The sequence below is a fragment of the Homo sapiens genome, chromosome X, assembly GCF_000001405.40.
Source record: "Homo sapiens chromosome X, GRCh38.p14 Primary Assembly".
Classification (NCBI taxonomy): domain Eukaryota; kingdom Metazoa; phylum Chordata; class Mammalia; order Primates; family Hominidae; genus Homo; species Homo sapiens.
Window position 1 is genome coordinate 110,971,481 of NC_000023.11, and position 25,803 is coordinate 110,997,283.

General features: G+C 40.0%; 1 protein-coding gene across 10 annotated transcripts in view; it reads left to right on the forward strand.

Moving 5' to 3' along the window:
• PAK3 (p21 (RAC1) activated kinase 3) overlaps positions 1 to 25,803 on the forward strand; it is a 282,965-nt gene that overhangs the window by 27,084 nt on the left and 230,078 nt on the right. For 2 of the 10 annotated variants that reach the window (XM_047442148.1, XM_011530968.3), the window contains exon 2: positions 21,906 to 22,002. The exons of the other annotated variants lie outside the window; for them this stretch is intronic. The gene's annotated coding sequence lies outside the window, so the exon portion shown is untranslated. The remainder of the gene's footprint in view (positions 1 to 21,905; positions 22,003 to 25,803) is intronic. 10 annotated transcript variants of the gene reach the window in all.

The following is a 25,803-nucleotide window of genomic DNA, read 5'->3' on the forward strand; positions in this document are numbered from 1 at the left end:
ATTCATCAGTTGAATATTTAGGTTGTTTCCATTTGTTGGCTGCCATAATGTCTTTTTATTATTGAGTTACAAGAGTTCTTTAGATTCTAGATACAAGTCCCTTATCTCATATATGATTTTCAAATATTTTCTCCCATCCTGTGGGTTGTCCTTTCATTTTCTTGATGCTGTCCTTTAAAGTACAAATGTCTTTAACTTTAATGATGTCCAGTAGTTTATTTTTTCTTTTCTTGACTATGCTGTTAGAGTCAGATACAAAAACTACTGCCTAATTCAAGATCACTAAAATTCACACCTATGTTTTCTTCTAAAAATTTTCTAGTTTTATTTTGTACATTTACATCTTTTTATCCATTTTGGGTTAATTTTTATATGGCATGATGTAGGAGTAAAACTTCATTATTTTGTATGTGGACATACAGTTGTCCCAGCACCATTAGTTGAAAAGATTATTCTTTTCCTAATAAAACTTCTTGGCACCCTTGTTGAAAATCAAACGGCCATAAGTGTGAGAGTTCATTTCTAGACTCTCAATTCTATTCCATTGTTCTACGTATGTATGTAGGTATGTATGTGTATATATACACACATATATATACACACACACACATATATATACATATCTATCAATCTATCTATCTATCTCTCTCTCTATATATGTATGTATGTATAAGACTTTTATTCCCTTTCCTGTCTTATTGCGCTGGGTAGTACTACCTCGAATAGCAGTGATGAGAGTAGAAATCAGTGCTTCACTGCGTTTGAGCTCTGAGAATGGACTGACTGCCTCCTCAAGTGGGTCCCCGACCCCCGTGTAGCCTAAATGGGGACACCTCCCAGTAGGGAGTTGGCTGCCCCTCTGGGGAGAAGCTTCCAGAGGAAGGATCAGGCAGGAATATTGCTGTTCTGCAGCCTCCGCTGGAGATACCCAGGCAAAGAGGGTCCGGAGTGGATCTTCAGCGAACTCCAACAGATCTGCAACTGAGGGATCTGACTGTTAGAAGGAAAACTAACAAACAGAAAGGAATAGCATCAACATCAACAAAAAGGTCATCTACACCAAAACCCCATCTGTAGGTCACCAACATCAAAGACCAAAGGTAGATAAAACCACAAAATGGGGAGAAACCAGAGCAGAAAGGGGGAAAATTCTAAAAATCAGAGTGCCTCTTCTCCTGCAAAGGTTTGCAGCTCCTCGCCAGCAACGGAACAAAGCTGGACATAGAATGACTTTCATGAGTTGACAGAAGTAGGCTTCAGAAGGTTGGTAATGACAAACTTCTCCGAGCCAGAGGAGGATGTTCGAACCCATCACAAGGAAGCTAAAAACCTTGAAAAAAGATTAGACGAATGGCTAACTAGAATAAACAGTGTAGAGAAGACCTCAAAGGACCTGATGGAGCTGAAAATCATGGCACAAGAACTTCGTGACGCATGCACAAGCTTCAATAGCCGATTCGATCAAGTGGAAGAAAGGGTATCAGTGATTGAAGATCAAATTAATGAAATAAAGCAAGAAGAAAAGGTTAGAGAAAAAAGAGTAAAAAGAAATGAACAATGCCTCCAAGAAATATGGCAGTATGTGAAAAGACCAAATCTAAATTTGATTGGTGTACCTGAAAGTGATGGGGTGAATGGAACCAAGCTGGAAAACACTCTTCAGGATATTATCCAGGAGAACTTCCCCAACCTAGCAAGGCAAGCCAACATTCAAATTCAGGAAATACAGAGAACATCACAAAGATACTCCTAGAGAAGAGCAAACCCAACACACCTAATTGTCAGATTCACCAAGGTTGAAATGAAGGAAAAAGTGTTAAGGGTAGCCAAAGAGAAAGGTCGAGCTACACACAAAGGGAAACCCATCAGACTAACAGCAGATCTCTCTGCAGAAACTCTACAAGCCAGAAAAGAGTGGGGGCCAATATTCAATATTCTTAAAGAAAAGAATTTCCAACCCAGAATTTCATATCCAGCCAAACTAATCTTCCTAAGTGAAGGAGAAATGAAATCCTTTACAGACAAGCAAATGCTGAGAGATTTTGTCACCACCAGGCCTGCCTTACAAGAGCTCCTGAAGGAAGCACTAAACATGGAAAGAAACAACCAGTACCAGCCACTGCAAACACAGGCCAAATTGTAAAGACCATCAATGCTATGAAGAAACTGCATCAATTAACAGGCAAAATAACCAGCGAACATCATAATGACAGGATCAAATTCACACATACCAATATTAACCTTAAATGTAAATGGGCTAAATCCTCCAATTAAAAGACACAGACTGGCAAATTGGATAAAGAGTCAAGACCCATCAGTGTGCTTATTCAGGAGACCCATCTCATGTGCAAAGATGCACATAGGCTCAAAATAAAGGGATGGAGGAAGATCTACCAAGCAAATGGAAAGCAAAAAAAAGCAGGGGTTGCAATCCTAGTCTCTGATAAACCAGATTTTAAACCAACAAACATCAAAAGAGACAAAGAAGGACATTACATAATGGTAAAGGGATCAATTCAACAAGAAGAGCTAACTATCCTAAATATATATGCACCCAATACAGGAGCACCCAGATTCATAAAGCAAGTCCTTAGAGTCCTACAAAGGGACTTAGACTCCCACACAATAATAATGGGAGACTTTAACACCCCACTGTCAATATTAGACAGATCAATGAGACAGAAGGTTAACAAGGATATCCATGGCCTGAACTCAGCTCTGCAACAAGCAGACCTAATAGACATCTACAGAACTCTCCACCCCAAATCAAATAGATGCAATAAAAAATGATAAAAGGGATATCACCACCGATTCCACAGAAATACAAACTACAAGAGAATACTATAAACAACTCTATGCAAATAAACTAGAAAATCTAGAAGAAATGGATAAATTCCTGGACACATACACCTTCCCAAGATTAAACCAGGAAGAAGTTGAATCTCTGAGTAGACCAATAACAGGCTCTGAAATTGAGGCAATAATTAATATCCTACCAACCTAAAAAAGTCCAGGACCAGATGGATTTACAGCCAAATTCTACCAGAGGTTCAAAGAGGAGCTGGTACCATTCCTTCTGAAACTATTCCAATGAATAGAAAAAGAGAGAATCCTCCCTAACTCATTTGATGAGGCCAACATCATCCTGATACCAAAGCCTGGCAGAGACACAACAAAAAAAGAGAATTGTAGACCAATATCCCTGATGATCATTAGTGCGAAAATCCTCAATAAAATACCGGCAAACCAAATCCAGCAGCACATCAAAAAGCTTATCCACCACGATCAAGTTGGCTTCATCCCTGGGAAGCAAGGCTGGTTCAACATATGCAAATCAATAAACATAATCCATCACATAAACATAACCAACAACAAAAACCACATGATTACCTCAATAGATGCAGAAAAGGCCTTCGACAGAATTCAACAGCACTTCATGCTAAAAACTCTCAATAAACTAGGTATTGATGGAACAAATCTCAATATAATAAGAGCTATTTATGACAAACCCACAGCCAATATCATACTGAATGGGCAAAAACTGGAAGCATTGCCTTGAAAACTGGCACAAGGCAAGGATGCTTGTCTCACCACTACTATTCAACATAATGTTGGAAGTTCTGGCCAGGCCAATCAGGCAGGAGAAAGAAATAAAGGGTATTCAATTAGGAAATTAGGAAGTCAAATTGTCTCTGTTTGCAGATGACATGATTGTGTATTTAGAAAACTCCATCATCTCAGCCCAAAATCTCCTTAAGCAGATAAGCAACTTCAGCAAAGTCTCAGGATACAAAATCAATGTGCAAAAATCACAAGCATTCCTATACACCAATAACAGACAAACAGAGAGCTAACTCATAAGTGAACTCCCTTTCACAATTGCTTCAAAGAGAATAAAATACCTAGGAATCCAACTAACAAGGGATGTGAAGGACCTCTTCAAGGAGAGTTACAAACCACTGCTCAATGAAATAAAAGAGGACACAAACAAATGGAAGAACATTCCACGCTCATGGATAGGAAGAATCAATATCATGAAAGTGGCCATACTGCCCAAAGTAATTTATAGATTCAATGCCATCCCCATCAAGCTACCAATGGCTTTCTTCACAGAATTGGAAAAAACTACTTTAAAGTTCATATGGAACCAAAAGAGAGCGTATGTTGCCAACACAATTCTAGGCAAAAAGAACCAAGCTGGAGGCATCACGCTACCTGACTTCAAACTATACTACAAGGCCACAGTAACCAAAACAGCATGGTACGGGTACCAAAACAGAGATATAGACCAAAGGAATAGAATAGAGGCCTCAGAAATAACACCACACATCTACAACCATCTGATCTTTGACAAACCTGACAAAAACAAGAAATGGGGAAAGGATTCCCTATTTAATAAATGGTGCTGGGAAAACTGGCTAGCCATATGTAGAAAGCTGAAACTGGATCCCTTCCTTACACCTTATACAAAAATTAATACAAGATGGATTAAAGACTTAAATGTTAGACCTAAAACCATGAAAACCCTAGAACAAAACCTAGGCAATACAATTCAGGACATAGGCATGGGCAAGGACTTCATGACAAAAACACCAAAAGCAATGGCAACAAAAGCCAAAACAGACAAATGAGATCTAATTAAACTAAAGAGCTTCTGCATGGCAAACAAACTACCATTAGAGTGAACAGGCAACCTACAGAATGGGAGAAAATTTTTGCAATCTACCCATCTGACAAAGGGCTAATATCCAGAATCTGCAAAGAACTCAAACAAATTTACAAGAGAAAAACAAACAACCCCATCAAAAAGTTGGCAAAGGGTGTGAACAGACACTTCTCTAAAGAAGACATCTATACAGCCAACAGACACATGAAAAAATGCTCATCATCACTGGTCATCAGAGAAATGCAAATCAAACCACAATGAGATACCATCTCATGAGAGTTAGAATGGCAATCATTAAAAAGTCAGGAAACAACAGATGCTGGAGAGGATGTGGAGAAATACGAACACTTTTACACTGTTGGTGAGAGTGTAAATTAGTTCAACCATTGTGGAAGACAGTGTGGCGATTCCTCAAGGATTTAGAACTAGAATTACCATTTGACCCAGCAATCCCATTACTGGGTATATACCCAAAGGACTGTAAATCATGCTACTATAAAGACACATGCATATGTATGTTTATTGTGGCACTGTTCACAATAGCAAAGACTTGGAACCAACCCAAATGTCCATCAATGATAGGCTGGATTAAGAAAATGTGACACATATACAACATGGAATACTATGCAGCCATAAAAAGTATGAGTTCATGTCCTTTTCAGGGACATGGATAAAACTGGAAACCATCATTCTCAGCAAGCTATCACAAGGACAGAAAACCAAACATCACATGTTCTCACTCATAGGTGGGAATTGAACAATGAGATCACTTGGATACAGGGAGGGGAATATCACACACTGGGGCATGTCAGGGGTTGGGGGGCTGGGGGAAGGATAGCATTAGGAGAAATATCTAATGTAAATGATTAGTTGATGGAGGCAGCAAACCAACATGACACATGTATACCTACGTATCAAACCTGCACGCTGTGCACATGTACCCTAGAACTTAGAGTATAATAAAAAAAAATCAGTGGTTCATTCTCAATCTTAAGAGAAAAGCATTCACTCTTTCACCATTGCGATGTTAGGTTTAGCTTTTGTTTGAATCATCTTGAGATAAGATAAAATATATATAAGATATATATGTATAAGATATATATATATTTTATGACAGTACTACACTCTCTTGATTATTGTACCTTTGTAGTAAGTTTTAATATTGGGAAGTATTAGTCCTCCAACTTTGTTGTTCTTTTCCAAGATTGTTTTAACTATTTGGGGTAACTTGCATTTCCATACAAAATATTGTAAAAATTTTAGGATCATCTTGCCAATTTCTATTTTAAAAATGCAGCTGGAATTTTGATAGGGATTTTGTTGAATCTATAGATCAATTTGGAGAGTTTTGTCATCTTAACAATATTAAGTCTTCTAATCCAAGGACATGGAATGTCTTTCCATTTGCTTAGGTTTTCTTTAATTTCTTTCAACAATGTTTTGTATTTTTCATTTTATAAGTTTTCCACTTATTTTGTTAAATTTATTCCTAAATATTTTATTTTTTGATGCTATTGTAAATGGAATCAATTTCTTAATTTCATTTTTGGTTTGCTTACTGCTACTGTATACAAATAAAATTGATATTTTGTATAATGATCTTGTACCCTGCAACCCTATTTAACTTGTTTATTAGTTCTAATTATTTTTAGTGGATTCCTCAGGATGTTCTGGACACTGGTCATGTCATCTGCAATTAGAGATTATTTAAATTCTTTCTTTCCAATCAGGGTGGCTTTTATTTCATTTTCTTGCATAATTGTCCTGGCTACAGCCTCCAATACAATGTTGACTAGAAACGACAAAGGTGTTCCTAATCTTAGGGGGAAATCTTTTAGTCTTTCACTATTAATTATGACGTTAGCTGTGGGTTTTTCATAGATGCTCTTTACCACGTTGATGAATTTCCTTCCTATCTGTAGCTTGTTGAGTGCTTTATCATAAAAGGGTGTTAAATTTTGTAAAAAGTCTTTCTCTGTGTCTATTGAAATGATCATGTGGTTTTGTCCTTTATGGTATTGAAGTGGTATATTACATTAATTGATTTTGCAGATGTTAAAACAACCTTGAATTCCTGGGATGAATCTCGGTAGGTTATAATTGTGTAATCCTCTTTTATTTGTTATTGGTTTCATTTGGCTATTTTTTTGTTTTTGTTTTTTATTTGTTTGTTTGTTTTAAGGCAGTCCCCCCCTCTACTCCTAGTTTTCTGAGAGGTAGGTTTGGTTTGTTTTTTTTATTGTCAGGAATGAATGTTAGATTTTATCAATTGCTTTTCTGCATCAATTGATAAGATTATATTATTTTTCTTATTTAACCTATTGATATGGTGGATTACAATGGTTGATTTTGTAATATTGAACTAACTTTGCATCCATGGAATAAACCGTAGTTGGTCATGATGTATAATTCTTTTCAAATAATGCTGAATTCTATTGACTAATATTTTGTTAAGAATATTTGAATCATATTTATGAAGGATATTGGTTTGTGCCTTCTTTCTTTTTCTTTCTTTCTTCCTTTCTTCTTTCTTTTTTCTTTCTTTCTTTCTCTCTGTCTCTTTCTTTCTTTCTTTCTTTCTTTTTCTTTCTTTCTTCTTTCCTTCTCTCTCTCTCTCTTTCTTTCTTTCCTTCTTTCTTTTGTACTGTCTTTGTCTGGTTTTGTTATCAGAGAATAAATACTAGCCTCAAAAGTGAATTGGAAAGTGTTTTTCTCCCCTTTCCACTTTCTGGAAGACATTGTTGAGAATTGGTGTTAATTCTTCTTTGAATATTTGGTAGAATTCCTCAGTGAAAACTTCTGATCTTGGAAACCTTGTTGGGGGGCTTTGAAATTACAAATTCAGTTTTCTCAAAAGTTATAGGTCTATTCAAATTATCTATTTTATATTGGCTGATTTGTGATGCATTATGCATTTCAAAGAATGATTAATTTCATCTACATTGTCAAATTAATGTGTATAGAATTGCTTGTACTACTCCATTTTATCCTTATAATGTTTATAGGGTCTGCAGTGATATTTTCATTCAGATGTTGGTAATTTGTGTCTTCTCTCTTTTTCTTTATCAGTCTTGAAGGATCAATTCAGTCAATTTTCTTGATCTTTTCAGAAACCAGCTCTTGTTTTATTCATTTTCTCTATTACTTTTCTTTTTTTTTTTTTTTTTTTTTTGACAGAGTCTGGCACTGTCACCCAGGCTGGAGTGCAGTGGCGCCATCTCTGCCCACTGCAAGCTCTGCCTCTCGGGTTCATGCCATTCTTCTGCCTCAGCCTGCGGAGTAGCTGAGACTACAGGTGCCGCCACCTCGCCTGGCTAATTTTTTGTATTTTCAGTAGAGACGGGGTTTCACCGTGTTAGCCAGGATGGTCTCGATCTCCTGACCTCGTGATCTGGCCTTGGCCTCCCAAAGTGCTGGGATTACAGGCATGAGCCACTGCACCCAGCCTACTTTTCTCTTTTCAACTTCACTGATTTCTGCTCATATATTTATTATTTTATTCCTTCTACTTACTTTGAGTTTATGTTGTTTTTCATTTTCCAGTTTCTTGAGGTGGGAGCTTGATTACTGATTCAAGACTTTTCCTCTTTTCTAATATATGCATTGAGTGCTATAAATTTCCCTCTCAGCACTGCTTTAGCAGTGTCCCACACATTTTGGTATGTTGCATCTTCATTTTCATTCTGATCTGTAGGTTAGAAGTCCTGGCAGACTTGACAGGGCTTTCTGTTTAAAGTGTCAGCTGGGTTGGACTCATATCTGGAGGTTCTGTGGATGAATCTACTTCCAAGCTCATTCAGGTGTAGGCAGAATTCAGTTTCTTTGGGTTGTAGATTTGAAGTGCCCATTTCCTTGCTGATTGTCTGCTAACAGTCACATTCTGCTCCTAGAAGCCACTTGAATTCCTCCTTAGTGACCCACTCCATCCTCAAAACCATCAACTAGCAATCTCGCATGTCAAAATATTCTCATGCCTCAAATCTCCCTGACTTCCTCTTCCATTTATCAGTCAGAGAAAACCATGTTATTAAAGGGTTCCTATGATGAGATTACACACACTCAGATAATCTGTTTTGCCATGTAATGTAACATAATCATTGGAGTAATTTCTCATCATGTTGATAGGTTCCACCCACACTCAGAGGGGAGGGGATTATACAGAAGCAAGGGTCATTTGGGTGGTCATAGTTAAAATTCTCCCTACCACAGTAATTATCTAATTCAAAGAAAAATATTGGGAAAATGGTATGACCAAAATATTGAGGAGTGCATGACAACAGTTTGGGACCCAACGGAGTAGTTCATTTTAAGGTCCATTCCAAATTCTATGATTCTGTAGTAGGGAAGTCATGGAATATTCTGCTTTTCTGTCTATTGTAGGGGCCAAGGGATAACTTTCCCCTTGGCCTTCTGAAGGTTCCCTGAAAAATCAACTCATAAAAGGCAGATGGATAGGAGAAACGACATACACATTTAACATACGTGTACATGGGAGCCTTCAGAATGAAGACCCAAAGATACAGAGAAAATTTTCCATTTTATGCTTAGGTCAAAAAAGTATGGACAGCCATGTAGAAATATGATTAGACATAAAGAGCATAATCCAATGCAATAGACTCAGTGGGGAAATACATCAAAGCCTCTCTGTCTAGATTCTTCTAGGCCTCTCTGAACATGAATTCCTTTCTTCTGGGTGTGGGGCATGACCCTCTCTGGAACAGAGATCTTATGACCTGCAGTCAAACAAGGTAGGTCAGATCGTTTCTTTGTGGTTAGTTTATACACAGAAAGACAGAGGGAAAGTTAGAGTAATATTTTTAGGTTTCATGGCTGGATTTGGGGAGAAGGGGTCGGTTTCTATCACTCGTCTTAGGGAAAAGAGATTCTAGGTTCTGTGGCTAGCCTCCAGGGAGGATGGGATTGAGAGACAAGAGGGCAGGAGAAGGTCAGAGAATAACATTTGCTTCTGAGGCCTTCATTTTGGGGTACTGTTTTCTGAGCTCCAACACTCCAGTGAGGTGAGGTACAGCAAAAACCAGAGGCCAGTATATTCTTTAAAAATATCAAGGTCATGAAAGATAAGAAAAACTGAGAAACTGTTTCCAATTAAAGGAGACTGAAGAGATATGGAAACTAAAGTTAAGAATTCATTCATATTTGGATCTTTTACTAAATAATTTTTGACCTTTTGTTCTAAAGGTTGACATTGGGATAATTGGTGACATTTGAAAGAGGTTTTTAGATTAGATCATAATGTTGCATGAATATTAATTTCCTGATTTTGATAATTGTGGTTATGTAAGAGAATGCTCTTGATTTTTAGAAACATGAACTAAAGTATTTAAAGATAAAGGGGCATGATCTCCATCTTACTCTCAAATGATTGAGAAAAAATAGTGTGTGTGTGTGTGTGTGTGTGTGTGTACAGAAAAAGAGAAAAGGATAAAGAAAATGTTGCAAAGGTTAACATTTGGGGAATCTGAGTGAGGAGTACGTGGAAATTCCTTGTACTTACATTTATCCTTTCTACTAACAGAGCTTCAGATGAAAATCACAACCCTGGCCAACACCTTGATTTCAATGCAATGAGACCCTAAGTAGAAGATTCAGGCATACTGTGCCTGTACTTCTGACCCACAGAAACTGTACAAAAATAAATTTGTGTGTTTTTTAAAAGTGAGGCCAATGGTGTGTAAGAAGAATTTGAAGTGGGAAAAAAGGGTAGATTCAGGAGACATTATGGAGAGAAAATTGCCACAATATGGTGTTTTCCTTGGCTAGATATGGGTAGAGAGAGAAGAGTTGGGGATGATTCTGAAGTTGGGAGCCTAGAAATTGGGATAATGCTGGCAGAAAGAGGCAAATAGAGGGAGAGCTGGGTGGGAGAAAAAAAATGATGTTTTAGAAATTCTGAGCTTGAGTGAACAGAGGACATGAGTAAAAGGGAACCATCTAGTGGAAAGGAATTGGTTAAGGATTGAAGCTGAACAGAGAGGTCAGGGCTGCAGCCAGAGGTTTGGGAGGCATCACCATTGTTTTGGATGTATTTGGAATCCCTGTTGTAAAGGGAAGAAAGAGGCTGAAAATAGAACGATATATTTGAGTCCACTCCTGCACACCAAGTTGGTTGTGAGGACTTGCACTGAAGACAGACAGATCTAGGTTTAAATCCTGGCTTTGCTCATGCCTAGCTCTGTGACGCTGAACAAGTGCCTAAACCTCTCTGAGCCTCTGCTTTTCTTTTATTCAGCTATGAAATGGTGACACTGATCATACCTGCCTTGTGGTGAGGACTAAATGAGATAACCTATATATAAAGCACTTAGCTCATCGCCTGGAACATAGGTTGCGCTGAAGAAATTGGGGTTATGATTGTTACTGTTGTTTCCTTTCATGTGATTTTCTGCATTAGGCAGCCTTCTCCCGAAAAGAACCCTGACAATTCAGATCACTGTGTGTTTTGTTTTGTTTTGTTTTGCTGGTGGGAATGAGGCAAGGCGACCATAGCATGGCATCTTTTGCTTATGGAGGGCAGGTCCACAACCTGTTACTGAAAAGGGTGAACTTTTTCTTTTTCTGTCAATACGGGCAGATGAAGAGAAAAGCACAAGGAGCTCTAGGAAGGGAAAGTTGGAGCTGTGGCTAATGGAGCAAGGGCAGACCCCAAAGACTCATCTAGATCATCAGTGATGATTCATTCCTCCGAAGCCTTTCCTAGGCCATTCTGAGAAACACTGGAGGAAGTGGGATGGCATGATCTAGTGTGAGTGATGGGCACTGTGCACAAGGGGATGATTTGTATTTATGAAAGGTTCTTGGTGCCTAGGCTGCCTGATGCATGTCTAAAAAGGCAGTGGGTTCCAAGTCAATGTGCCTGGAGTGAGGAGATTTAGCTTCACCTGCTGGCACTGACTTTCCCTACAGAAGATGTAGCTCTGGGCACCACACTCCTAGCTTACATTTGATCCCTCCTGCTGAAGCAGTAATCAATCTGCAGTCTTCTGCTATTAGATGTTAATGCAATCAAAGAGATCACAATGACCTTAAGATTTCCTGATTAATTCACTTTTTCCCCTAGTCAGCATTACCTTCTTTAATTTCTCAGCACTTGGCTCGTTTTCTCAGCTCACTTGGCTCTGTTTCATGCTACAAGTACCTTTTTCCTCTACTGAGGAGAGGGTTTGGGTAGAGTGATGGCGTTCTGGGCTGCCTGGTAGTGGAAGATGGAGAATCCCTGTCCTTGAATAAAGGTGTACTACCCAAAAAGAAAGGTTTTGGGGTTTTGACAAAAAGCAATCTTAGAAAAGGACATTTGGAAATGGTAAGAGAAAGACAGAGAGAGAGAGGATGTGTGTGTTTGTGTGCATGTGTGTGTATGTCTGCGTGTGTGTGTGTGTGTGTGAAAGAGAGAGAGAGAAATCTTGAGAAACTGGTAGGAACAAAGTAAAATTATTATTTCCTCTCAAGTCAAAGAAGGTACAGAAAGAAAACTGCCGAGGTGAAGATACGTATCAGGGATTACCAATTTTCCAGAGCCCCCCACGCATAAAGTGCTTTAAGATCCTCAGTGAGGAGAAGCTTAAGATACAGAGACTGATGATCTGCCACCATAGGTGGGCAGCTGGAGTTGATACAAGCTGCCCAAAGCAGAATTTGTGATTTTTTTCTGCAAATACATTCCTCTTCCAGTCAACCCCACTCAGTAAATGGCACTACCGCTCACCTGGTTGCTTAAGTCAAACTCCTGGTGGTTATCCTGAGTTCTTCTTGTTCCCTTACACATCACATCCTAGTCATCAGCAAATCCTGTTCATTTACCTTGAAAATATTTACTGAATTTCATCACTTTTCACCACCTCCTCAGCCATTAGCTAGTGTGAGCCACCATCATCTCTTTCCCAAACCACTGCAACAGCCCCCTAAATAATCTACTTGCTTCCGCTCTTACTGCCAGGCCTGCCATGTATGGATGTTCAGGTTGTATACTACACAAGGGCACCATAGCTATGGGTGTGCCATTTATATCACAGACACATACATACTTACATAAGATTGTGCAGATGGGTGCAGACATTCTGGGCTTCTTGGCTCTAAGTCTGACAACAGCGGAAGAGAGCCTGCTCCTACTTAAAACTGTACCAGTGCACATGGCCTTGCATAGACTCAGGAAAGCACAATCACACACACACATACACACACATATACATCCATAAATGTACATACTCAGTGGCACACACAAGTGGACTCTATCCTACCCAAGCCCTGGGTGTCCCCTGAGTTTACTTCTCTCTCTACTACCCATTGTTCCCACAGGCTGAAGTCCCATCCCTCCCACTTCCAGCTGCCTCAGCTGGAGAGGGGATAGAACAGTGGGGGGCAAAGTGTTGTTGATGGTGCATCTATTCCAGTGACAAGAAATGCATGAGTGAGAGGAATAATGTGGGTGCTCACAACACAGGCTGCTGCCCACCATGACTCTGGCAAACTTTCTTGGGCAGGACTTAAATTTGTTTAGGTTGTACAAGAAAAGACTAACATAATTTTTGTTGTCATTTTTAAAATGAGGAAGGGGTGTCTTTTTTGTGATTCACACAGACACTGTATCAGATAGTGGCAGCCTTACGCCCCCCCGCCCCCGCCAAATCTCAACTCCAACCAATCTCTACTCTATATAACAGTCACTAAGAACTTTAACAAACAGGCTGGGTACAGGGGTTCAAGACTGTAATTCCAGCACTTTGGGAGGTCAGGGCGGGCAAATCGCTTGAGCCCAGGAGTTTGAGACCAGCCTGGGCCATGTGGTGAAACCCCATCTCTACTAAAAATACAAAAATTAGCCAGGCGTGTTGGTGCACACCTGTAGTCCCACCTACTCAGGAGGCTGAGGTGAGAGGACTGCTTGAGCCCTGGAGATCGAGGCTGCAGTGAGCTGAGAAAAATAAAAAAATAACTTTAACGAACACTTGAGTATGTTGATTCTTTGCTTAAAGCCTTCCATTTATATTTTAATGTTTTTAGGATAAAGATAAAACTCCTTAGATGGCCTACAAAGCTTGAATGATCTGGCCCCTGCCTTCCTCTGCAACCTCATCTCATATCACCCTCCCTCTCATGACTGCCCCAAACCCCACCCACACTGATTTTCTGTCCCTTGAGTTCACCAAGCACATATCATTGTATTTCTTGTTTATCTGCCTCCCCCTTCCTCCTACCTCCCTGCTTCTAGAGTGTTAACTCTGTTAAGCAGGGACTTTGTCTTTTTCATCATTATGTCTTCATCACCTAGCACAGTTCCTGGCATTTAATAGGTGGTCAATAAGTATTTGCTGAGTGAATAAATAAGTGAACAGGAAAATGAGCAATTTTGCTCCCTATTCCACTCATTGGCTCTAAGATGAACCTCAGCTCAGCCTCATCTCTAGTGTGCTTTGAGATCCTCTGGTGAAATGAGATGGCCAGAAAATGCAAGGTTGTTAAACATCAGAAAGTTGCAAGACCAGTTTGGTCAGGAGGAATAATAATCAGTATAACCAGCACGTATTGAGATATTAGCATGTGCTGGGCATTGCTCTAGGCTTTTTTCTCATTTAATCTCCACAGTAACCTTATAAGGTATTTCCTAGTATAGAATTATCCACATTTGATGATGAGCAAACTGAAACCCAGGTGATTCAGTGACTTGGATGCAGACACAGGCAGTTCGATTCAAAGCTTTCTTTTGTGTTGTGTGAGAATGAGAACAGTCTCATTTCCACTGATTTCTTTTTCAAACCACCCTAGGATTATCCCTCTACCCCCTGGCTTCTCTTCAATCTCATAATCTTGAATCCAGCCCTGAGGAGCAGGTAGAAAAGAGCCATGTACTACATTGGTAAGCTGCAGTGAGTGTAGGTCTAGTTAGTGTCCCCATAGGGTAGCAGCTACTTTGATGATTGACAATATAAATTTAAAAGCTGAGATATCCTGTACTATCTTGATACTGAAATCAATAAAACCATCAAATCCTAAGCCAGCCTCACCAAACTAAAAGGGAGTTGCAACCACAAAGCAAATTTAACACCTCTTGGAATCTTTCTGACATCACATGAAGCACTACCTCTGAGGTGAGAATGGCATTAGCTTGAAGCTCTACAGGGCTGAAACCTTAGCTATTACAGGGCTGGATTGTATCTGCCACCTTCACATGGGAAGAGAAATTGACATGGGGGGAAGAGACAACTGACTAGGCAGTCTTTGCAGCTCTGACTGTGCATAAAGAGAATGAAAAAATAAAAGAAGAGAGGGAAAACACAGCATAATCCTCATTGTTAAGATGTTATCATGCTCATGGGCATAACAGAAATTACTGTTCTTCATCTCACCTTATGATTCCCTTTAACAAAAGACAACCATTGAAAACACAATTTGAGGCCAGTTTACCCCTTCATGCTCAGAGCCTGAATCACAAATTCATGGGCTGTATTAAATGCTTTCCCCACTTATTTTATCAGATTCTTAGAACCAGAGAAGGAACCTAATAGAATATCTGGTTCAACTCATTCACATTTTCTAGATAGGGAGACTGAGGCCAAAAGAAAGGGGTCTTGATTTCATTTTCACCAAGTGTACGCGTGTGTGTGTGTGTGTGTGTGTGTATGTGTGTGTCCATTCGTGTGTTGCATGAGTGGGAGGTTTGCTTCAGGAGCTGTTAAGGGGAGAGATGGAAAGTTCTGTATTCTAAAAGGAAAGGGGTGAAAAATGTTAGAATCAATACAGTGTTTGGTAAATAACTAGTAATTTGTCACATAAACATATACACACTACAAACACCACTGTCTGTGGCAGAAACAGAGGGATGTTCTCAACAGAGGGAGGGTCTCAGCCAAGAAGGATAAATGAGGGCCATTCATCCTTTCAGACCCTTTCTGCCATTGGCAAAGATTGGTCCAGTCCACTGCCTAGGTTTTCTGTGGGCTCTCAACATTTTGCTCAGCAGAGACTTCCCAAGGCTGCTTCACTAGTGGCTGGTGGCATTTAACCTCTGTGGGAGGGATGGAGCTTTTTCTTTTCATCATGGAATCCATTATTTTTCTTTGAAGCATAGTGCAAAGCTTCTTACAAATTGCATGGCAAAAATAGAAATGCAGCCAGTTCTCAGCACAGCCTTGTGGAAGTCGGGGCAACCTGTCCCTCAGGCAGTGTGGATGGAGAGTGTGTTCATTTCTGAACTTGATGGTAAATCCTATGGGGAAGGAGGCAGAAAGCAACCCATCCCTTCCTCTTCTCCCTTAAAGGGAACTAGACCTAAAATGTGTTGGAGCTGTGAGCCCTGGAGAAAGCCAGCCCAATTGCAGTATTAGACCCCGCCAGAGGGAGTCAGAGTGTGGCAGCTTGGCTGTGAACTTGCCGTGAGACCTGGAGTAAGTTGCTTCCCCTCTTTGGGTCTCTGTTTTTTCATTTAACCCTCATGCTTCACAGAATGATTGAAAGGTACAAATGTAGAGAAAATAGACCCACATATGCTTTGGAAACAGTAAAAACCTGATATTAGTACAAAATATTTTTATTGTCATTGTTTTATGTCTGCTCTTTGTCTCTGGTGGTTGACCTGGAATTTGGGTATCTGATCTGGAATTTGACTTGGTATAGAATATTTCAGGATAGGTTCAAGGCCTCTGGAGCTGCAGAAAGAAGAATTGTTGGAAGAGTCAATGCAGGTTGAACACTGGGCTCAAACAGACCCCTCACAAATCACAGCCCTGCTCCTTCATTAATCTCCCCGGGTATGTCTTCCAGCAGCTTATCGAACCTCTGAGCTTCAGTTTCCTCATCTCTAAAGTGGGGTTGTTGTGGGAATTTAAGTGAGATAATAAATGAAAGCTATTATGCTGAAGCACTGGTGTGGAGTATGCATTTGATAATAATTCTTTTTGATGTTATTTGCATCTGTGTGCTGAGAATAACTGTGATTCCTTAATGTCAGTGCACAGCTAGTCCTTGTTAAAACATACAGATTCCTGGGCCTTGCCCTAAAGAAATTCTGATTCCATAGGTTTGGAATGGAGAACAAGAACATGTGTTTAACAAGGACTCCACGGTATTCTGATGTGGGTCCAATTTGGAAACCATTGGTGTAGAGCACTGTTATTCAAGCTGTCAATTGTTACCCACTGCTCAGAAAATCAATTTAGTGGATAGTGACCAGCATTAAACACACATACAGGAATGGAATGGGAAATAACAGGGTACACTGCACACAGTAAGGGTAAATATTGAGTTATAAAATGTTTATAATTACATATAATTTTAAATATAAAGACAGTTATATTTATCATTTATAATATAGTTGTATATACATCGTTTGTGTGTATGTGTATATATATACATGCAAACATTTCATGAGGCAATACTTACCCTCACTGTAGATACCTTGACATTGGACAAAATTATTTGAAATACTCATTTCTTATTTGGAGAAACTGGCATCCAGAGAATTAATCTGTCAAGTCTCAGATAAGACAAGAAATGACCAACAAGGGAATGGAGTAGGATCCATTTCTCCTCTCTCCCCATCTCTCCCATGCTATTCTTGGATCAACAGAGTTGGTGGTTCTCTAATTAGAATCAGTTCTAATATCATATAATGGCCCTGGCCTGAAATGTAAGGGCAAGTTAGGGAGGCGGCTGCAGGTATCAGGCTAATGGCATTGACCCCATTAGACGGAAAATGCATCTGGGTTTATGGGATGTTTAGCTGCTCTTGGTTAGTGAAGGCTTTGTATAAGTGTGCCAAGCTCTTGTCCAAACAACTGCTCCTCCTTTCCTTCTCCCAGACTTTGATATTGATTTTACCATTTGAAACTCTTTTGTTGCCTCTGTAAAATCAAATAATTAGCTTAAAACTATCCTTCCGGTCACATCAACCAGCATCATCTTTTCAGTCCTGACTTGATATGTTGAAGATGTTAGCACCCCTAACCTTTCATCCACATGCTCTGTCTAAAGGGAGCAGCTATTTCTGGGTTCCAGTTCATTATGGTCCTGTGGGAATGTGGTCACTTTGCCAGTGAGGCCTTCTGTGTCTACCCTCTGTGATACTCTAGGCCTTGCAGGAACCTACTACTCTTACCATTTCAAAACTCTTCATCTCCTACCTGACTTTGTATTTTCCTGATGGTACTTATCATACAACTTAACATAGTATATTTTAAATAATAAACAGATAATGAAAATAATCCCATGTGTCCAGATATTTTTTTTCTAGGAAGATTGAAAATCAAATTTTATGTGAAGTTTTCCAATTTTTAATGCTGCCAGATATTTTGATTTTTCTAGAGAGCTTGGACATCTGAATATTCATGTAAAATCTTGTAATTTTTCAATGTCGGTTACCAGTTCATAGAAAATTTAAATACTATTTGCACCAAAGAAAATATGTTTGTGATCCAGATAGAGTCCAAGGTTCACCCTATTGTGATCTGTGTCATAGATCTGTAGAACACTGGCGCTGTGAGAAGCCTTGTAAATTGGCAGCTTCTAATGAGGAAGTACAGACTCAGAAAGATTAGGTATCTTCTGCATTATCACACAGCTGGCTTGTAGCAGAACTGGATCTCGAACCCAGCTTTCCTGCCTCCTAGTTGCTCTGTCATAGTCACCATGCTGGCTGCCTCCCTTCTGCTGAGGGTTGAGTTAATCTGCTCTGTGTAGAGGACAGCTTTCAGTCTTCAGTCCCCTCCTCCTAAAGAATATAACAGACGCATCACCACCCATCTGATAATCCCCAGGCACTTCTCACCAGAGTGTATGAATTTACCTGCCTTCCCAATCTCAACTGAGGATATTGCCTCTTGGCGCTCTTTATTGCTTTTGCTCCAGTGATAGAATCAAGACAAAGTCTTTATAGGAATGTTATTATCATTGCTCCCAGACAGCGGTGTCTTCCGGCAGAGTCATAGAGTCGGTGTGGTCTAATGCAAAGAATCTGGGGCTCAAAGTCCAGACAGCTGGGCTCAATTCTCAGATATGTGACCTGAGACAACTTATTTAGCCTCTCCGGCACTCAATTTCCTTAACTGTAAAAATGAGAAAAATAAGATCTGTCTCTCTTGTGTCTCAGAGCTGCTGTGAGGCTAAAGTGAGATGATATGTATAAGAGCACCTTGGAAACAGATAAACATTTTACAACGATGAGGGTATAGTATCATTAAATCAGCAAAATAATGATTAAGCACCTACTATGTGACAGTGAACATACCATTTATGCAGGGCATGCCAAGAAGCATAGGCCTATCTGCCTCCATGAGCTTATAGTCTACCTGAGAAGAAGGGACATAGCTGAGTGGGAAGAGAGCCAGCACTGCAAAGCTAGAGACCAGGGCTGAAGGAAATGTATTGACCGTAGAATGAGAGAAAGAAATTGTGGTAGAAAGGGGTGACCATGGAAGGATTCCTGGAGGGAGTTGCATTTAAACTAAGCTTTGGAATAAAAATTCACAGGCTAGGGCTGGCAGGAGTTAAAAAAAAAAAAAGGATATTCTTTTACTGGTCAGGGGCAACAGCACAAATAAGGGCTGAAATCACAACGTATGCTGGAGGTCTAATCTACATGGACAGAAGGGTTCAAGTAGTGGCTCTCAGATTATTGCTTATCCAGCTTTTTCACTGGCCTAAAACACAAAAGAGAAAGTCAAGGGATGCTTGCTATGAAGTCAAGGTGGGGCCAGGCACGGTGGTTCATGCCTGTAATCCCAGCAATTTGGGAGGCTCAGGGAGGCATATTGCTTGAGCCCAGGAGTTCGAGACCAGCCATTGGCAACATAGCAAAACCTCATCTCTAAAAAATACACAAAAATTAGCTGGGTGTGGTGGTGCAGGCCTGTAGTCCCAGGTACTCAGGAGGCTGATCTGGGAGGATCGCTTGAACCCTGGAGGCAGAGGTTACAGTGAGCCACTGAGATTGCACCACTGCACTCCAGCCTGGATGGCAGAGCCAGACCCTGTCTCAAAAAAAAAAAGAAAAGAAAAAGAAAACAAACCAAGGCAGAGGTTAAGTGTGGGCACAGGTTTGGTTAATTACATCACAGGAGGGCCTAATACTATAAAATGATCATAATGATTATTTCTGCCTCATAGGGCTTTTCTCAGCTTTAAATTACATGATGTGTGTTAAACATTTAGCATAGCACCTGATACATGATTAGTACTCAATAAATGTTAGCTATCATCATCATCACCAGTTTTCATCTTATACTGAAGTTAGGGGACAATAACATGGGCTTTGGAATCTGTCTAATATTAGTTGTGTAGCCTTGGTCGAGTCACATCACTTCCTCGTTTCTCGGTTTCCTGGTCTTTAAAATGGGAATGACAGTAGTGCCAACTGAAAAGGGCTATTGTGAGGATTAAATGAGTTAATCCAAGTAAAGTACTTATCACCATGCCTGGTACATGATAAGCATTCAATAGATGTTAGCTGCTACAGTTATTATGGCCAGTTGACCATTAAGGTAATATGACAGCATAACTAAAACATGAGAAAATTGAGAAAAATAGGCAATCATGCCAAATCTTACTACTAAGACACATCTTGTTATTATTTTTGGATTTGGTTCTTAAATTTAAAATTTCTTTTGTTGAGAAAATCAAGACTGCAGGAGATGGCATGGATTTGGGATGCAGCAGGCATTTCGTTAAACACTTAATAAGTAACTACTGTGTGCTAGCCAGTGTTCCAGAAGCTGAGATATGACAAGAAAAAAAAACACACAGGACAGGCATTATTCCTGTATTTAAGGAATTTATAGCCCAATAGAGGTAGTATGGAAAACAAAATAATAAATATAAAATATTGTGTTATGTGATATTAAGTACTATGGAAAATATCTTCAGATGGGGTGATAAGGAGTTGTAAAATGGTCAGGAGTGGTGAGGGAGGGTTGGAGAGTGAACCCTGCAGAGCCTATAATTTTAGAGGGTGGTCAGGGTAGGCCTCACCAAGAAGGTAATCTTTTGAATCCAGCCCTAAAGGAGGTGAGGGAGTAGGTCATGTAGGTATCTCAGGGAAGAGCATTGGGAGCAGAGAGAACAGGAAGAGCAAGGTCTTTGAATCAGGAGGATATCTGGCATTTATGAAACTGCCAAGAAGCCCATGTTGCAGCAATGGAGTGAATGAAGGGAAGAGTATTGGGATGGGAGGTCAGAGAGGTCACAGAGACAAGTTTGTTAAGGGCATTGACTGCCATTTCCAGGGAGTGAGATGGAAAGCCACGGAGGAGCTTGTTCAGTGAAGGACATGACCCAACTTATATGAGCTATTTGGCACTCCTATAAGCAGTGGGTTTTGACCCCATAGATCCTGGGCAATAATAAACAAGAGGCAGCAACTCCACCATTCCCTCAGAACTCTCCTTACCACTCTGTAGACTGCAGAGAGTGGACTTATTGATCCTGAGGGCGACACAGAGAGGAATTGATGGCACGGAGAATAGGGGAAAAAGATGTAATCTCTTAGAGCTGAAAGGGACTCAGTGCAATTCTGCCACCGGGCATCTGTTCATTCCGCCTCGACTAAAACCGTCACTGCCTTATCAGCTTGCTCAGCCTCTTCTTGCAGGACCTTCTCAAGGTCGGAAAGCCTTTTGATGGGTTTACTGAAAATCTGCCTCCTTTTCACCACCGGGTGGCAGTAGTCCTGGTTCTATCACCTGAGCAACCCAGAATAAGTGCATACCTTCCGCAGGAAAATACTTGAGATTTGAAGGCAGGTGGATATCTTATATATCCCCCAACGTTTCTCCTTTACAGGCCCTATTGTCTCTTCTACCTTCAAGAGTAACTCCTATTATAGAATGGTTTTCTTTTGTCAATCTTGCAACCCTCTTCTGGAGGTTTTCCACTTTCTTAGTGACTCTCTTAAAATGTGATGTCTAAAATTGAACAGGAGACGGCAGGAGTGAACAGAGGAGGTTACAGTGCAATGATTATATTCTAGGATCTAGAAACTGTACTTTGATTATGCAATCTAAAATTGTGCTCTGTTTTTAGCGACTAAATAATTTAGGTACATTAAACTGTTGGCTCGAATTGTGCTTGTGGGTCAATTCAAGCCCCTTGATCTTTTTTAGTTTGTTTATTTGTTTGATGTGAGTTGCTGTGAAGCCACACTTCCCCTATTTTGGCCTCACAAAATGGACTTTTAAAATTTGAATTGATGATTTTTTTTCTTTATCTCATTTATATTTCACCATTTAAATTTTAGCCCAGTATTCCAACCCGTCTGAGCTTATTTTGAATCTCAATTTTGTTCTTCAACATATTCCGACATCCCTGCCAGGTTTGAGTCATCTTAAAACACAGTAAGTACATTTTCTGTATCACCTAAGTTATTAATAAAAATGAAAAAGTCTTGTGGCCCTTCTCTGGAGAACTTCTGCTGGATTGCCAATCCATTTGACTGTATTATAACTTGATCAATATGTTACTATCTTGCTTTAGTTCATTCATGAGAAAATTCTGAGACAAATTCAAATGCATGGCTAAATCCAAGATATGTTGTCAATGCAAAAGATAGCATGGATGAAGGTGATCTAAGATAGGATGTTTTTGTTTTGCAAAATGGAAATTCTAGTATTGTTTTTTCCAATTATAAGGTGATATTGGCTTGTTGTAAAGGTCAACAGCATACATAAGTATACAAAATACAAAGGGAAATTTCCTCTGTAATTCTGTGCACCGACACTGTACTAGATAACTATGGTTGACAGTTTTATGCATATATAAACACAGATCTATGGTTTTACTGGGATCATGATATAGAGACTGTTACATGACCTGCTCTTTTCACTTACAATCCTTTGGAAACGTCTGTCCTTCTCAGAAAGTACAGTTTTAGCTCCTTCTTTTAAACAATGATATAGTGTTCTTTTCTTTGGATGTTTCATAATTTATCTCATCAATCTCATATTGATGGGCATTTAGATCATTGGCAATTTTTGCCGTTACAAGCAGTATTACATGTTGAATTGTCTTTGCTGACTCGATGAGATGTTGTGCTAGATGCTGGTTGTTGCCTTCTCTGTATTTCCCATCCTCTTGTCCTTCTCAGATATTGTTGTCAATGTCCTAAATGCCAAAGGGCTGCTTCCGCCTAAGAACTAATGAGGGGGCCAAATTACTACTCATCATGGTTTGAGTTTGAAAATCTATACTTGCCCTACTTTCGAGTGTGTTTAAGGCTTTTTGAGCTGCCAGGGGCTTTTAGAGGATCAAGGCACCCCAAGATCAAGCCTTGAGGGACAGACAGTCTTGATAGGAGGCTGCAACCCCTGTTTGGCACATGTGAAGTGGTTAGGGGCAGAAAGGAGAAGGAGAACTGCCTTGCCATTGGGCCACAATTCCTTGTTATACACCCTCAGCCCTGACCAAGCAGGACACTTGCTGGTCCCTGAATAAGCTCCTCCTTTTTCATGTTCACACCTTTATTCCTCCACAGGGTCTTCCTCCTTTCACACGTGTACCTCCCAGAACAAGGTAGGAGCCATCTGCTCTGAATTCCCAGAATGCTTTAAAACCATGGGCTTGGGAGTTGAACCAATGTTTGAATATCAGAGCTTGGCAGTTGAACCTAGCTCTGTGATTTTTGGATAAGTCTTTTATCCTTTCTGGGCCTAGTTATCCTCATCTATGGAGTGATGATATGCCTATATATTTTGAAACACCTAGCCCAGTGCCTGGCTTAACAAACGTTTGCTGTTATTATTATCATAATTACCATATGTGATTATATTACCTACTCCACTGTTGTGAAAATTAAATGAGAACATATGTAAAGCACACAACACAGTGCTCAGCCTAAAATGGGTATTAAATAAATTATGGCAATTACTGATTGTATTCATATCTTCCTTTGGATACTTATCTTACTCTCTTGTGTTACTCCTATTTGTGTTTACGTCTTGATCTCCTCCTTTAATTAATAAGTTCCTTCAAAAGCACAGTGTTTGTCCTCTTCCCTCCTCCTACCCCTCTCCCCTAGAAAGCATAAAAAAACCAGTGTTGGGGTTAGTAGGGCTCTTTAAAATTTAGGTGCCGTCAGCGAATGCCACCATCACTTTGTCTAAGCCCCTTTCTGATTGGATTTTCTAGTTAGAAAGCACTGTCTCATTAACAGATCAACTGGGCCCCCTTTCTAGGGCAAGTCATGGCATACATATTCCAACCCCTGAGCCACTGATCAGAATTAGCAAGCTATAGAATCTTAGCTTTGGAAAGATTTTCAGAAACCAATGGCTTTGTGTATGAGTTTACCTGGGCAGAATGGATTCATGTACCACTCTCAGGCCTTTGCTATCTAGATGGAAAGGAACAACATTAGGCCATTAGCCCAGTCCAGACCACTGTTGAGTCCCTCTTAGACTACCAAAACAGTCTCCTAGGCTTTTTCCTGCTTTCGCTCATGCCTCTACACAGCAGCAAGAGCAATCTTTAGAAAATAAAAAATCAGATCACATGATTTCCCTCCTCAAAACCCTCCCATGGCTCCCATTGCATGTAGTATAAATTCATATTTCCTTCCCATGGCCTAGAAGACCCTGAATAATCTGGCTCCTGTGCATCTCTCCACATTCATCCTGTTACACTCTTCCCCTTGCCCCCTGTGCACCACCTGCGCTGATCTACTGTTCTGAGGATACACCAAGCTCATCCCTGCTTCAGTGCTTTTAATCTTGTTTTGACCCTCTACCAACAATTGAATGCCAGCCTTGCCCCAACTTCCCCATGTTTCTTTTCGTCCTTCAGGTTTCCATTTCAATTATACTTTCTCAGAAGAACATGAAAAGCCTTCCCTGTGCACCCTGTCTCAAGTAGGTTCTTGTCCCCACGTTATTCTCAAACTCATTGGTTCTCAGGCTTGCTTCAAATTGAGAATCACTCAGAGAGCATTAAAAAACAAAACAATGGCCAGGCCTCTTCTAGATGAAGTAAATCAGAATTTCTGAGAATGGAACTCAGCTATCTGTATTTCTAAATGCTCCTCAAGTGGTTTTAATGTGTAGCCAAGGTGGACAGCCTTTGTTTTATCTGTCAACTTGTTTATTTCATTCTTGGTGCTTATCACAAACTATAATTATTTTGCTTATTTTAGCAACTTATTTAGTAAATATTTATTATGCCCCTACATGTGCCAGGCACTACTCAAAACATGGAAATTAAACTAGTGGACATACTAAACACAAATCCCAACCATTATCAAACTTCAATTCTAGTGGAGGAGGCAGACAATAAACAAGATCAATAAAATATATAGTGAAATTTTTATAGTGTTCTAGACTAAATGGTTGTGTCTTCCCCACCAAATTATTGTGTTGACATCTTAACACCCAATATGATAGTATCTGAAGATGTGGCTTTTGGGATGCAGTTAGGGTTAGATGAGGTCATGAGGGTGGGGCTTTGATCTAATGGGATTAGTGCCTTGATAAGAAGAGACACCAAAGAGCCTGCTCTCTCTCTCTCTCTCTATCTCTCTCTTTCCCCCACCACCCCACCACCCAACATGCACAAAGAAGTCATATAAGCATACAATGAGATGGTGGCTGTCTACAAGCCAAGAAAAGAGGCCTCAGAATGAAACTTACCTTTCTGGCACCTTGATCTTGGACTTCCAGCCTCCAGAACTGTCAGGGATAAATGTCTGTTGTTCAAGCCACCCAGTCTGTAGTATTTTGTTATGGCAGTCCAAGCACATTAAGACATATAGTATGTTAGAGAATGATGAGTGCTAGGGAGAAAAGTAAACTAGATAATGGAGATATAAATTTTTTGGAGGAGAGAAACACTTTAGACAGAGTGACCTCGATAGATAAATCTTGAGTAAAGACCTGAAAGAAGTGACAGATATAGATCTGCAGCTATTTGGATGACGAACTTTTAAGGCAAAGAAGAGTCTGTGCAAAGGTCCTAAGACTGTATCATACCTAGTATGTTTGAAGAACAGCAAGGGGGCCGGTATGGCTGGAGGTTTGAAGACAAGGGGAAGAGTGGTAGGTGATAAATTCAGGAATTTAATGGGGTTGGGGGGGCAGGTGTTTGGAACTTTGAAGGTTATTGTAAGAGCTTTGGCTTTTACTGAGTAAGAAGGGGTATCATAGAGCAGA